This window comes from Homo sapiens, chromosome 20 (genome assembly GCF_000001405.40).
Source record: "Homo sapiens chromosome 20, GRCh38.p14 Primary Assembly".
Taxonomy (NCBI): Eukaryota; Metazoa; Chordata; class Mammalia; order Primates; family Hominidae; genus Homo; species Homo sapiens.
The window spans coordinates 58,980,365-58,995,133 of record NC_000020.11 but is presented as its reverse complement, the minus strand read 5'-3'; the positions used below and the strand labels follow the sequence as shown (position 1 = coordinate 58,995,133).

The 14,769-nt window shown below is 49.2% G+C and overlaps 1 protein-coding gene across 2 annotated transcripts, besides 3 other annotated features; it reads right to left on the bottom strand.

Annotated features, from left to right (window-relative positions):
• NELFCD (negative elongation factor complex member C/D) lies at positions 21–13,878 on the bottom strand. Of its 2 annotated transcripts, NM_198976.4 has the most exons (15): positions 13,765–13,878; positions 8,926–9,041; positions 8,271–8,380; positions 7,317–7,426; positions 6,113–6,220; positions 5,494–5,646; positions 5,146–5,276; positions 4,059–4,224; positions 3,688–3,822; positions 3,114–3,253; positions 2,022–2,136; positions 1,590–1,685; positions 1,370–1,510; positions 895–1,024; positions 21–492 (listed from the first exon to the last, which is right to left on the bottom strand). In NM_198976.4, the coding sequence occupies exons 1-15, from the start codon at positions 13,822–13,824 to the stop codon at positions 458–460; spliced, it is 1,746 nt and encodes a 581-aa protein (NP_945327.3). In that variant the 5' UTR covers positions 13,825–13,878; the 3' UTR covers positions 21–457. The 2 variants fall into 2 exon arrangements, with proteins under 2 accessions (NP_945327.3, XP_047296144.1); XM_047440188.1 differs by lacking the exon at positions 21–492 and having other exon boundaries at positions 898–1,024; positions 1,459–1,510.
• Positions 13,120–13,620: an enhancer, noted in NCBI's record as "H3K27ac hESC enhancer chr20:57556569-57557069 (GRCh37/hg19 assembly coordinates)". NCBI's record gives its function as "activates a minimal SCP1, AML or CMV promoter by ChIP-STARR-seq in primed H9 embryonic stem cells {active_cell/tissue: H9 hESC(primed)}" and the evidence as "EXISTENCE:reporter gene assay evidence [ECO:0000049][PMID:30033119]".
• Positions 13,120–14,022: a biological region, named in NCBI's record as "H3K27ac hESC enhancer GRCh37_chr20:57556569-57557069".
• Positions 13,543–14,022: a silencer, noted in NCBI's record as "silent region_13085". NCBI's record gives its function as "represses an Ori minimal core promoter by ATAC-STARR-seq in GM12878 lymphoblastoid cells {active_cell/tissue: GM12878}" and the evidence as "EXISTENCE:reporter gene assay evidence [ECO:0000049][PMID:35858748]".

Genomic DNA, 14,769 nt, shown 5'->3' with positions numbered 1-14,769 from the left:
TTAATCCAACCCAGCAGAAAGGCTTTTTAAAAATTTACTTATTACTTGTTCTTAGCAAATTAAGACAATTACAATAAAACATCAGCTAACTGGGTTCTTGTGAGAAAACTGAGGTCAGCTTGGAAAGGAGTTCCCCGAGTGGAGTTCCCAGCGGCCCGCGGCTGACGGCCAGATCTGTCCTGAGGGGTCGTGGGAGCCCAGCGCCTGCCTTGAGGGAAATGAACACTGAAAACAGGATTTGGGAGCAGTATTGGATTGACAGCAGAGAAGGGACTGTTTGTAAGGGCAGTTTCTCACTGAAGCTGCTACCATTTTCCTTTGTAAAGAAGTCATCCACCTCCTCCCAGCGGTGCCCATTTTCAAGACGCTGCCCGAGCCTCTTAAAACAGCTTCTTGAAAGGGTTTTTCCACAACGGGTTCTGGAATGTTCTGCTTCAGCTCTGGAGGATGCTCTAAATTAGTTCACCATGATGAAGTTAGATTTGCAGTGAGCTTTAACGAGGAAAACAGTGACTGTGTTAGAAACAGGAAGTAGAACATGACATTTTCTTTCTTTTTTTTTTTTTTTTTTGAGATGCAGTTTTGCTCTTGTTGCCCAGGATAGAGTGCAATGGCGCGATCTTGGCTCACTGCAACCTCTGCCTCCCAGGTTAAGCGATTCTCCTGCCTCAGCCTCCCGAGTAGCTAGGATTACAGGCACGTGCCACCATGCCCAGCTAATGCTGTATTTTTAGTAGAGATGGGGTTTCTCCATGTTGGTCGGGCTGGTCTTGAACTCCCAACCTCAGGTGATCCACCCACCTTGGCCTCCCAAAGTGCTGGGATTACAGGCATGAGCCACCGCGCCCAGCTGACATTTTCTATTGTAGTAAAGGGCTAGGCAGTCGGCCTCACCTATAAACTCCGTCACAGGGTCATGCTCGCCTTCCGTTTTGATGGTACCTGCGATGCTGTCATTCTCCAGGATGGGGAGGAAAAGTTGCACGAAGTCAGAGGTATAAGGAGGAGCAATGACGTCCAGCACCTGCGTGGGGGAGCACAGGGTGACTTCTTCCGCACACTAGTGCGGGGCATCCACCGACATCCGGGTGAAATGGCCATCAGTTTGGAAAAAATCCCTCCCCACCCCCACCGGCCGGTGACACCACCCATCTCCAACATTCAGATGCCCAGGGTGGTAATGGAGGTAAAGTGTGTCATACAGCTGCTGCAGGCAGAAGGTGCTTTTTGGTAAACGAGTATCTGTCATTGTCATCACTACATCAGAAAGCACAGTTCTCAGTTAGGTACAAAATGAACTAAATTAAGCCAAAAAGGGCAGTGCTAGTGTAAACAGTATGAAACATGAAACCAACGGTGCATTGCTGACCTCAGTGACAAAATAGCGAATGAGTGAAATGTCAGTGTCCAGCTTCTCCAGACACTTTCGGATGTAACTGACAACAGGAAGTACATAACCTCGACTCAGCAGGTGAACCATCCTGTCCAGCAGTGTCTTCTTCAACTCAAGCTACAGAAGAAGGGGGACAGGGAGCTGGTTAGAGAGGGTCCTCCTCAGCCCTCTGGCAAGCCCCACGGGCACTGCTCACCTGCTCCATCACGTCCAGCTGGGAGTGCTCAGTCTCAAAAAGCTTAACAAGCAGCTGCAGGACCTGGGGGTGCAGGAGCTGGTGGCAGGTGCTGATCTACAAACAGGCCAGAGGGAGCTTCGCTGAGCAGTGTGGTCACGCTCAGCACACAGAGAAACTGGGCACTGTCACAGCCACCAAAGAGCTTATCACTGTGGAAGAAGGTCCTGACACCTAAGCCAGGGCCATCAGCTTCCAGTAACACTTGACTGAGGTTAAGAAATTTCTGCAGTCAATGAAGCTAGGTCCTTAAGAGGAAAATCCTCAGGACAGAAATAACTATTTTTGAGAAGAGTATCCTCTAAACTCACTGAATAGATGCAATGTTAATGCCAACGTAAACAGCATGAGACAGACACTGTGTAGGCTGTGAACAGCTCTCCGCCCTCTTACCTCATCCAGCAACGCCAGGTGGACAGGGGTATGGTCAGTCTGCAGCTGAAAGTACCTTGGTTCTGATACAGTCCAATCCACCCACTTCAGCACACCCATTGCTACCACTGGAAACCTACAGTTAAGGCAGAATGCTTCCTTTAAAAAACAATTTAAAACACAAAATATGCTAGAAAAGCATTAAAGGAAAGTTAAAAACAAACTCAAATGACTCCATCATTCACCCTTCAATACGCCCCCCAACCCTTTTTTTTTTTTTTTTTTGAGACAGGGTCTCACTCTGTCTTCCAGGCTGGAGTACAATGACACAATCATGGCTCACTGCAGCCTCCCGAGTACCTGGGACTACAGGTGAGTGCCACCATGTCTAGCTAATTTTTTGTAGAGAGAGGGTCCACCATGTTGCTCAGACTGGTCTCAAACTCCTGGGCTCAAACTATTTTCTTGCCTTGGCCTCCCAGATTGCTGGGATTCCAGGCCAGAGCCACTGTGCCTGGCGTAAGCTCTGCTTATTAGTAAATAGTGTGAATGGATCAGCAGCCACTCAACATGCGGTGCAAGAAGCAGAGTTCAATTCTCTGCTCACTTTAAACCACTTATCGAAAGGAAAAGATCATTAATGAGTGATACTCAGTGAGTTTGGTGGACTGGGTTGAAGTTTACCTTTATTTAGCAAACTCTTTCTTCATCCCTAGTATAAATTATTAGGGGAAAGACATGCCTAAGAGGACACACTATTTCTAGGACACGTCTATTTATATGATTGGCATAATCACAAATCATTTCTATGTAAGCAATACTTTGTGGGCATAACTTTACCTATAAATAGACCCTTCAAATCAATTTTTGTTAACTCTGGCTATCTTTTACTTAGCCTAATTTGTACTCAACAGACTTCTGGCAAATAAACATCTGAAAATTACTCATGCTGCTAAAGCTGTTTAAAGTTCCCTACATACTGTTTAAAAATGAAAAAATAAATAAAATGAACAAGTATCGCTGAAGCTTTTGTTATTTGAGCTTTCAATATGAAAACTCAAACGACCTCCTCCCCAAAGGACTGATTTAAGAACTGAGTTTCGTTTTGCTTACCTAATACACTGATAAAGTGTGCTCAATTCTGCCACTAGTTCAGAGGCCCCTTTGTTCTCGTTGCAACACAAATTGTGAACGGTTTCGACAGCTTTTGACGTTGACTTCAGCTCATCTTTATTGATGCTCACTCGCTTGTTCTGAAAACACACACACAAGCTGGTGAGCCTGACAGGGCAGATATCCCTGCTGTCGGGGTGTTCTGGTGTCGGCCACTTCTTGCAAAGCACTTTCCCTATTTCTACTTAAGTTGGGAGTCAATTCAGCTGTCAAACTTCACAGTCACACAGTGTACAGAAACTGAAAAGCAATGAGACTAGTGTTTGTCCATGTCTTACGGAAATCAGTTTCATTTCTTTAGTCACATTTCAATTTACGGTTTGCAGAGCATTGGAGACATTACGCACATTTTCTGGAGACGTTTAGTGCTTTCTCTACGCAGAAACACAAGAAAACACATGCCTGATACTAGGGAGGGTCAAGATTTCTTGCAGCCAAAATTCCAAAATAATATCAAAGCAGAGGAGGATATTTGTCTCCTAAAAAATCCACAAATTCCCAGAACCGATGGTACCTTCTTCCAGGTCTCAACCACGCTTGCTGCGTACGCCAAGATGTGGATGTATTTGTGCTTGTGGTCCTGGTTGATCCGAGCCCCTGGTTTAAAGAGTGACTGCATGAACAGGTCCAGGAAGGCTGGAACGCGGATCTGAGGAGAAGCATATGCCCAGTTCGGGATGGCAGGCGTGAGGGCACTGCTCACCCACCTCCCCTCAGGGTTCCCTACACAGCAGGGGCCCAACAGGCTCCAGGCAGAGAGTGTGACTGAGGAAGGACCAGGACAATGATGGATTTGCATTCACAGCCTTCAGACAATCAGACAAGCACAGACTTTCCAAAGTCACCTTACCAGCTGACATTGGGGATTCTTGAGAAGCAACTTACAAGTTCAACCGGAGGAGGGTCCATGCTTGTGAACATCTTGAACAGGACGGTGATGTCAGCAGGGTTCAGGGCTCCTTTGGACAGCATGGCCCCGAGAGCCTGGCAGGCCCTGGGGTAGGAGGCAGCTGTGCCCAAGGCTAGTGTGATCTGACTGGCGTCATGACCTCTTGATGAGAAAAACCATAGACCCCGTTACTAACAAGGCAGCTTCTTTTTTCTGTTCTTTTTTACACATATAATACTTTGCATTGTTGGGATCTGTTTTTCTGTCATTCACGAGTATACTGACTGACCCACAAAAATAACATTTACAACACTGGAAAAGTGATTCCAATACAGCTTGCTGGCTCTATAAGAAAGGAGTCACACACTTTAAATACTTAGGAACACTCTATTGGTAGCAGAAAATAAAGCTAATATGAGCTCATTTTGCGACACTGTAACAATGAGATTGCTGAGCAACTATTTCTGGACTGACTTTGTTTGTTACTTCAGAACCCCAGTGTAAAAGCCCAGGCCCATAACTCCAGCAAAGGGAAGACGAATCAAGTGCTTTACACAACAGTCCTCAAAGCAGCACTTTAGAAAGCCAGCTCTCCAAGTATACCAAAAACAACTCCAACTTTTCCAGCTCTGCTGGATAAAAGGAAGTTTTTAATTTTTTTTTTTTTTTTTGAGACAGAGTTTTGCTCTTGTTGCCCAGGCTGGAGTGCAATGGTGCAATCTTGGCTGACCACAACCTCCACCTCCCAGGTTCAAGCGATTCTCCTGCCTCAGCCTCCCAAGTAGCTGGGATTACAGGCATGTGCCGCCACACCCGGCTAATTTTGTATTTTTGTTTACCAGAGATGGGGTTTCTCCATGTTGGTCAAGCTGGTCTCAAACTCCTGACCTTAGGTGATCCATCCGCCTCGGCCTCCCAAAGTGCTGGGATTACAGGCGTGAGCCACCACGCCCAGCCAAAAGCAAGTTTACCTCTACGTTGAACAGAAGGAGCTAGCAGCTTTGGCTGTGGAACACGGGCCATGGGAAGGGTTTTGTGGGGAGCACTAGGAAGGAAGGGCTGAGCAGAAACAGGGCCTCTCACTTCTCCTGGGCAAAGCGCTGCACTTCCTGGGCGATCCTGCGCACAGCGGAGCCCCCCTGCTCCTCCTGGGCCAGCACGGACATCATGGCCTGGGCAAACAGGTACGTGTGCTCCCCGTGGCACACCATCTTCTGCAAGATTGCAGGGAGAGAGGGGGCAGGGTTTACTACTGTAGCACAGACGGGCGGACGAGAGCCAAGCCTCCACCGTGCTCGGGCCCGGGAGTGAGCATCCTGGAAGGTGCCCTCAGAAATGGAGATTCTCTCCAGGGAAGGAGCATCTCATGCTTGAAAACCAAGACCCAAAGCAGCCTCCTTCTAATCTGAGGTTCATAAAGAAAGAACTTACGGCAAACTCAGGGAGATTTTTTTCAAGGTTTTCTTCTCCTCCATCTAAAATTGTAGCTAGAGAGGTCCGGAGCACTCTCGAGAACACTTCTAGCTGCTGGCATGCTGTGGACACACTGGTGATCTCCCCCTGGTACCCTGCGTCAGAAATAAGCTAGGACACAAAACAAGAAGTCAGAGGGGAGGCATGCAGTGACCGCACCTCCACGGGAAGCTGGCTTGTCAGTGTTCATGGTGAGGTGGAGTAAGTGTGCGCTGGTCGTGGGTCTCAGGCCTTCACTCCGCCCTCACCCTGCTATCACCTAGGTGTGTGCCCTGGGCTGACCACCTCTCCATCGTTTCTTCATATGCAAGAGGAAGATCAAGCAGGCACGCCTAAAGCTCCTCTCCAACCACAAGAGAATTCTTGTATCCCTGCTAAATCCTAAAACACAGTCAACACTGACCCAAAAACAGATACAAATTTTACACTTTTCTTTCTCAGTGTAAGGCTTATGAAAATAAAACAATAAAGACCTTTATGGAAAAAAAGCAAATATGAACTGTCAAAGGAAACAGACCAACAACCAAAAATAAACATTCATAAACACTTTTCTCCTTAACTCTAGAACTCTTCCTACCTTAACGGTGAAGTTCAGCATCAAACAGTCTGGATGGGCTTCAGCCAGTTTATAAAAAAGGTCCCGCCACGTGGTATGTGCAATCATCTGTTCCAGCCACGCTGGGGTCTGCCAACACACACACAAACAGCAAGATAGGAGGAGGCCCCACTTTTACTTGAGTGGAGATTCTGTTGTATAAACGATCACAGGAGATTGGTGCTGATGGACTCCCCATGGGCATCTAGTTCTGGGGGAGGCAGACCCAGAGCTGGCCACAGCCACACAGTCGGCTGAGTGACAGAAAGGTCCCTAGATGCCCGCTCAGCTTTTAGAAAATCGGACTCAACACAGGAGGGTACTGAAAGTTGCTTCCTAGGAGACACCGAGAACCGCATAGAGCTGCCTTGCACACACAGGGAGCTCATGCTGCCCCAGCTTGTATGCCCTTAGCAAAAGAGAAAGAGGCCATTTAAATGGCACAGGTGTTCTGGCCCATCACCACATGGAGTAGCCAGAAAAACATTTCTCTCAGCTCTCCTATGTGACGGATGTCCTCAAGGACTGTGCTCTGAACCTGCCATCCTGTTTGTGCCAAGGCCAGCTCCCCGAGGCTGCTCCCAGCCACAGATGGAATGCAGCAGGGCCTCAAAAGCAGGCCTGTCCAGGAGACGTGGGCTCCCAGAATGGGCACCTGTGGCTTAAAGATTCCCCACTGATATGGCTGGAACGTTCTGGAAACTGCACTGCAGCCTAACATTCTTCCTACTAACCCTCATTCCTTTTCTCTTGCCCTCAAGGGTCAGACTGCATCACAGCTACCCCAGCCTCCTCCAGCCCTACCCCATCTTCCCTCATAGTCGCTTCCCCATCATCTCCTGCAGGCCTAGCCCTGTCTTGGCAGCTGCTTCTTGGAGGAACCAAACGAATCCACCACAACACTCCAAGGGCTGTGCCCTGGAGTCAGCCTGAGAGGGGAAATGGTGGGAACTTGCTGTTCATTCTCTTGATCTCAGCACCTGTGTGCCTCTTGCGTGCAAGCATGTCACGACCCTGGGTACAGAGTTTAAAGGGCAATTCTGACTAGATGCAACTTCTGTCTCACACTCTGATTTTAGTCCTCAACTCTGCCATTACTTACATGATATGCCACGCTCCACTGTACACAGGGAATTTGCAAAAGACCCTAGGGCCTGGTACTAGGCAAAGAAAAATAATTTCTCACCTCTCCTTCTTCAGTAAAAATAGAATCTGCTTTGCGGGGGTCAAAATGTTTGATCAGCAAACTCTTCAAGTGATTTTCCACAGTTTCCTGAACCTGCACTGGCTCAACACCTGAAAGAGAATAAAAGCAACTAGACAATGGCAAGCTGTCCATTCACTGTGTGGCTTTAGAAAGCAAATGGTCAAAAGTCTCTATGTGAATCAAATACCAAAGAATTGCTTCTGACCACTTATACATGTAAGGTTTTGGAACTCTTCAAAGTAGTTATCAATGATAAGACCAAAAAGCAGCACAGAACAGAACACACAAGTCTGGTCCACCCCTAACTTCATGGAAAGGACAGCACCATCTGCAGAGCCTCACTGAGGATAAAGACAAATGGCCCCAGCAACAGGTAGGGGGATGGAAAAACATCCCTGCCCAGTGAGGAGGGAGCAGATGGCAGCCAAAAGAGACACACTTGTATCTAATCACCGGGACAGCAGTGTGTCCACAAGCTTCCGGACAGCACGCACTTCAGTGATGTCATCTGCACCCGGCTCCGTGGATTTACAGTAAGACTCTACTTTGATCATATTAACTAAAAGCCATAATCACAGCCAGTCCTAAATTATCCGTCATTTACTGCTTGCTGTAATAGACGTCTTGAAAATGACACACTGAACACACACTGTATAATCCTATAATTCTACAACATGGTAGGGAAAACAGCTCAATGAGAATCACGTTTGCAGGCTACCAGTAAACCTCAATTACTGAATCAAAGATAAGAGGCAAGCAGATACAAATGAGTAAGATAAAGATAAAAATGAGTAAGAAGTTCAGCTCTTTCTTACACAAGTCTCAGAAACCAGGAAATCAAAGAAGGCATTGTATCAGTGTTATAAGGACCCAAAAGTCTATTTTTAAAAAAGTGGGGGTAACTAGCCAGGACAGGGGACACCCACAAAGCACCTGTCTGAATGAGCCACTCGGCCAGCAGGTTCACAGTCTGGGCCACAGCGGTGTAGTTTTCAGATAAGAGCTGGATAACATTCTCTGGAGACCCTCCTGCCTGAAAATACCTAGGGAAAGTAACAACAGCAATTACACCCGAATGAATGGAATGATGGACAACAGGAAGGTAAGGAAGGAGGAAGAGAATCAGGTTTCAAAATTTTTAAAGCAGCGGAGGGGGCTGGGTGCAGTGGTGCACACCTGTAATCCCAGCACTTTGGGAGGCAGAGGTGGGAGAATCACTTGAGCCTAGGAGTTCAAGAGCAGCCAGGGCAACGTAAGGAGCCCTGTCTCTCCCAAAAAACAAAAACAAAAATAGCCAGGCATGATGGCAGACGCCTGTGGTGGCCACCTTGCAAGGCTGAGGTGGGAGAACTGCTTGATTCCAGGAGGCTGAAGCTGCAGTGAGCGGTGATTGTGCCACTGCAACAGAGCAAGACTCTGTCTTAAAAAAATTTAAAAAAAAAAAAAAAGTGGCAGAGGGGACCCCCCCTTGAAGCCTTTAGTTCAGTTCGCGTTACTCTTGCTTTACATAGCACCTTCTGGGTGTATTACAAAACTTTCTCTAAATTACCCCCAGCCTCCTCCCAATACAGACACCTTTCTCACATACCTCTTCAGAGTGTTGAAGATGGAGGGTTCCATGATATAATCCCGGGTGGAAAATTTATGCAGGCATTCTTGCTGAACCTCCGCATCATCCTCTCCTTCTCCAGAATCATCCTCCTGCTGTTGGTAAATGCGAAGAGCCAGGATATTTTTTTCATTAATACAAATACCCTAATCTCACCTTAAATCGTATAATGCTGCCCATTTTGAAAGTATTCTACACACATTATTTCATTTGACTTTCATGACAATTTCATGAAATGGGCTGGACAGATAGTGAGTGGCTAGGAAAATGGGATCCAGGATCACACTGAGTGGGTGTGTACAACTCCTCCCTGGCAAACCGCGTTCCATGCTCACACAAGTTACCCAACCTCTCTGAGTGTCCATTTCCTCCTCTGTTAAGTGAAGATAATAATAACGCCTATTCCCATTTGGCTGTTGTGAGGATTCCATGAGCTAATTTTTGGAAGAACCCAGCATAATCCCTGACATTTCGTAACAGTGCAATAAATAGTAAACTATTATTATTATTGTTTTCACTATTCTTATTTCATACATGCCACTGAAGAGTAACAACCTGATTCTTGAAAGCGTGAGCCATCACTTACCATTAGAAAGTAAAGACCACTAACTCGCCTTGCATCCACACTTCTGGCTGGACTCCAGTCCCAATTCTATGTGGAAGCAACTTCAGGCCTGTCACTCCATCTAAGGGCAAAGCAGGCTTCTTCACCTGCTAATGACCATGTGAGGATGGACTGTGATCCCAAACCCTGTCCAACTTTAACACTGCCACCCTAACTAACAAGCAGATGCTTTTTGAACATTCAGTCTGCACTATGCTCATCAACCAAGGAACCTAAGAAAATGTAAGACAAGACAAGGCTTTTTCCATCAAAGAAGTTCACAAACTAATAGGAGAGACAGACCTCCATGCAACCTACTCTAACATAATGGGGCAAGAGCTGGGCCAGGGGTCAGCAAACTATGACCCAGAGCCGAATCCAGCCCTCTCCTATTTTTGCAAATAAACTTTTACGGAACACAGCACACCCATTCTTTTAAGGACTGTCTATGATTGCTTTCCCCCTGTAAGGGCAGAGGTAAGTAGTTAAGACAGAGACAGGCACAACCTAAAATATTTGCTATCTAGCCTTTTTCAGAAAAGTTTGCTCACTCCTGATCTGGACTAAGATCCTAAAAGCAGTGCTTTGGGAGCAGACAGAACCCGATGACTTCCCAGTAAAAGCTGTGGAGTCTTCTCTCAGACCAGATTTGCATGGGGAACGCTGAGCCCCTAAGGGCATGACAGAGGCCGGACTTCACCCCGAGCTTCATTCCCACGTTGTCTGTTCTCTTGGGCTTCCACCCTGGGCACTCACCTACCTGCCTCTTCCACCACCTCTTGGGTCATGCTATCTACCTGCTCACCAATCTAGAATTAGCCTGGATCTCTCTCTCCGTCTTTCCTCTCTTAAGCTCCAGACTCAGGTATCCAACATTCCATTCTCATTTCCAGTCAGATGTCTCACAAGTATCCAAACTCTTTAGGTCCAAAACTGACATCTCTTCCCTAGAAACAGATCTTCTTCCTACAACCCATATTTCCGTAAAGGTATCCTTCATATATCTACTTGTTACCCCCCAAACCTGAAAATCATCCTCAGCTTCTCTCCCTCACCCCACCCCCACATCCTGTCACAAAGACTCATCAGTTCCATCTCCCATCTGTCTATCCAAGGTGGTCCTTCTTTCCACATTTGCCTCTGCTCTTCCTTATTTTTTGTATGCTTGCAGTAGCAACATTCCCCTGAAGTCTCAGTCTTATTCCTTCCTTTCAATCATCTTTCACACCGTGGCCACAGTGATCTTTGTAAGCCACAAAACTGACGTCTCTCTCCTGCTTAAAGATTCCCATCTCCTTCAGGAAAAAACGCCCCAGCTCTAGCAAGAGCGTGCCCTTCCCACTTCCCCTGTCCGTTCTGACCTCTCACCACTCCCCATTTGCAATCTGTAGCAGGACTCATCTATTTGCATGTCTGCAGCTCTTAGTTTCCACCATCCAGACTGAACATCACGGTGGCCTCCTTACACATCTTCCTACCTCCCACTATGTAACATGGCATCAGGCGAACAGAATTTGGGTCACCAACTATCTTTTAAAATCCAGTTCTTGCCACCCTCCTAACACCTTTCCTAACTTTCTGTACCTCTTCCAAGCAGAGTCACAGAATAAACATGAAATGAACGTCTGGTCCACCCCCCTCATCCATGAGAGCCCACTGGTGTCAGTGGGCCAAATTAGGATCATGATTAAAATTCCCCAAACATGAGACTCCCCAATCTCCCATCAGTGGGGTCTAGGTCTGACTGCACAAACTTGGGCAAATAACTCACGTGCTTGGTCTATAAAGTGAAGGTACTGATTAGATGGCCCTTATATGCCCCAGTTCTAACACTTTATGACTCAAAGCCTCAAGGTGAGGCCGGGCACGGTAGCTCACACCTGTAATCTCAGCACTTTGAGAGGCGGAGGCGGGCAGATTACTTGAGGCCAGGAGTTCGAGACCAGCCTGGCCAACATGGTGAAACCACATCTCTACTAAAAATACAAAAATTAGCCGGGTGTGGTGGCACCGGCCTGTAATTCCAGCTACTTGGAGAATCACTTGAACCCAGGAGGTGGAGGTTGCAGTGAGCCAAGATGGCACCACTGCACTCCAGCCTGGGTGACAGAGTGAGACTCCGTCTCAAAGAAAAAAAAAAAAAAAAAAGGCCGGGTGCGGTGGCTCACGCCTGTAATCCTAGCATTTTGGGAGGCCGGGGCAGGCGGATCACCTGAGGTCAGGAGTTCAAGACTAGCCTGGCCAACGTGGTGAAACACTGTCTCTACTAAAATACAAAAATTAGCCGGACATGATGGCGGATGCCTGTAATCCCAGCTACTCAGGAGGCTGAGACGGGAGAATTGCTTGAACCCAGGAGATGGCAGTTGCAGCGAGCTGAGATCAAGCCACTGCACTCCAGCCTGAGCAGCTAAGCGAGACTCTGTCTCAAAAAAAAAAAAAAAGAAAAAAAGGCTCAAGGTGATATACTAGATGCCCCAAACACCAACCTACCACTAAGCTAATTCACACCTTCTCATCTGGACCACTTTGGTAGTCAGCAATTTGACGAAGTGGCAACGGAGGCAAAGGATGTGGGTTTGGGTCCCCTCTCCTTCCTTTATTAGTTTCATGACCTTGGGCAGGTCAGTAAGTCTTTTCGTCTCATTTTCTACACTTACCAGATAAGTAGGGTAACACCCAACTCAAAATCCTGTGTGTGGAAGGGGATAACGCATGACACACATGGCCCAAGCTCTCAGTTAGCTAAGTCTGACTCTATCCACTCCACCCTAAGCCTCCAACACTGTGAAATGATCCAACATGCAAATCTACTCGTGTCACTCCCTGCCCCAAACTCCTGAACAAGCCATACCATTCAGCAGCTCTCCAAGGATCTTCAGAACCTGCTCCCTACTGACCTCCTGCCACTGCTTCCACCAGGCAGCTAACATCACAGGGCTTCTTTCAGTTCCAGAAACACATCGCCCGCCTTGGCATTTTAGACCATGGCTCCGAAGCCGCCATCACACCACCACCCATGTTTATCAACGTAAGCCCCACTTCATCCTTTATTCCCTTATAATACCACTTCAAAATGCACCAGACATCCCCAATCTTGATTGTTGTTAAAAATGCAAGTTCCTGGGCCACGAGCAGTGGCTCACGCCTGTAATCCCAGTACTTTGGGAGGCAGAGGTGGGTGGATCACCTGAGGTCAAGAGTTTGAGACCAGCCTGGCCAACAAGGTGAAACCCCCTCTCTACTCAAAATTTTAAAAATTAGCTGGGCATGGTGGTGGGTGCCTGTAATCCCAGCTATTCGGGAGGCTGAGGCAGGAGAATCGCTTGAATCCGAGAGGCAGACGTTGCAGTGAGCCGCGATGGCGCCATTACACTCCAGCCTGGGCAACAAGAGCGAAACTCCACCACAAAAAAAAAAAAAAAAAAAAAAAAAAAAAAAAATGCAAGTTCCCAGGCTCCCGTCCAGACCAACTGTTGGGCCGTCTCCAGGGGAGGGACGTGAGAAGCTACATTTCAATCATGCGCCTCAGTTGGGTCTTTAGAGTAAGGTGGGGACACACTGTCCAGACTAGAGCTACCTGCCCTGGCTCTGCAGTCCCTGTCCTCAGGGTGGAACAGTGATCCCTCCTGGGCTTCCACCCCAAACCCTGGAAGGTCAAGGCCCGAAAATCCTTTCCATCAGTTTGCCCAAAAACAGATGAAATCAGCCCAAGGTGCTGAAGAGTACAGTTTATAAAACAGTAAAGCACATGTAGGAATGCCCTAAGTTCTACTTTTTCCTCATGATGCTGCTGTGAAGTTTTTCCACTTTATTTTTGTTTAAAAGTCTGTGAGCTCCGGACCCAACCCTCCACCTTAGCGTTGGTGTCCCGCCCGCCGCGGGGGTCGCAGGGCCGGCGCCGGGCCTGGCCGGAGCGAGGGGGTACTGGGGGCCTCGGGCCGCCCCGCGCCAGAGCCTCCGGCGCCTCACCCCCACCCCAAGGTCCTGCAGGCGAGGAGGCGGGGACCCCGGCGGCCGCGCCGCGGGACCCCGGGCGGGCGGGGGCGGGGCGGGCTGTGCTTGAACCACACGGTGACCGCGCGGGCCGTGCGCGCGCACACCCCCCGCACGCCCGCAGCCTCGCGCCGCGCGGCCTCTCCGGGAGTGGGGCCGGCCCGCCGGCGGCGGAGACGAACGATTCTCTCTAGGGTGCGCCCAGTGCCCCGCCTCACCTGGCCGCCGTCAGCCTCGTCGCCCCACTCGGCCGCGCTCCCGTAGTAGTCCTCGTCCATGATGGCGCCCGGCACGGCCCCCGCCATGCCCTCCCGCGAGCGAGCGCGGCGCATGCGCGAGGCGGGGACGGGCGGGCGGGCGCACGCGCGGCCGCGCGCCTCGGCCCGGGCGGGAGGCGGGGCCTGGAAGAAGGGGCGGGGCCTGGAGGAAGGGCAGGGCCGCGGGCTCGGCACTGGGAACAAAGGGGACCGGCGGAAGGAACGCCCCCAGTCGATCCCGGAGCGATGCCCGGGTGGACCAGGGGCTTAGCTCCGGAGAGAGGTTTCCCACTGGATTCGTGCACAGCCCCTCCCCTGCGGCGCCGGCTCTGCGAGCCCCAGTTTCCTCATCTGGCAGCTGGAAACAAATCCTTCCGGAAGTGTCCAGGACCCACGAAAGTGTTTTAATTTCTTTTAGTTTTGGTAAAAAGTACTAAACGCGACCGGGCGTGGGGGCTCACGCCTGTAATCCCAGCACTTTGGGAGACCGAGGCTGACGGATCACTTGAGGTCAGGAGTTCGAGGCCAGTCTGGCCAACATGGTGAAACCCCGTCTCTGCTCAAAATACAAAAATTAGCCGGGCGTGGTGGCATGCGCCTGTAATCCCAGGTACTCGGGTGACTGAGGCAGGAGAATCGCTTGAACCCGGGAGGCGGAGGTTGCAGTGAGCCAAGATCGCACCATTGCACTCCAGCCTGAGCGACAGAGCGAGACCCTATCTCAAATAAATAAATACATACATAAAAAGGGCAGGGCACGGTGGCTCACGCCTGTAATCCCAACACTTTGGGAGGCCGAGGCGGGCGGATCACCTGAGGTCAGGAGTTCGAGACCAGCCTGGTCAACATGGTAAAACCCCTTCTCTACTAATAACACAAAAATTAGCTGGGCATGGTGGCGGGCGCCTGTAGTCTCAGCTACTCAAGAGGCTGAGTCACGAGAACCGCTTGAACCCAGGAGGTGGA

Bases quoted from the DNA above. Each gene is read 5' to 3' on its own strand.
- NELFCD (NM_198976.4), bottom strand. From the start codon at position 13,824: ATGGACGAGGACTACTACGGGAGCGCGGCCGAGTGGGGCGACGAGGCT. The intron at 6,221-7,316 runs GTGAGAAATTAT...GTGTGTTGGCAG, and splicing joins TTTTTACTGAAGAAGGAGAG to ACCCCAGCGTGGCTGGAACA. The intron at 1,511-1,589 runs GTGAGCAGTGCC...CTTCTTCTGTAG, and splicing joins AGCTGGACGTGATGGAGCAG to CTTGAGTTGAAGAAGACACT.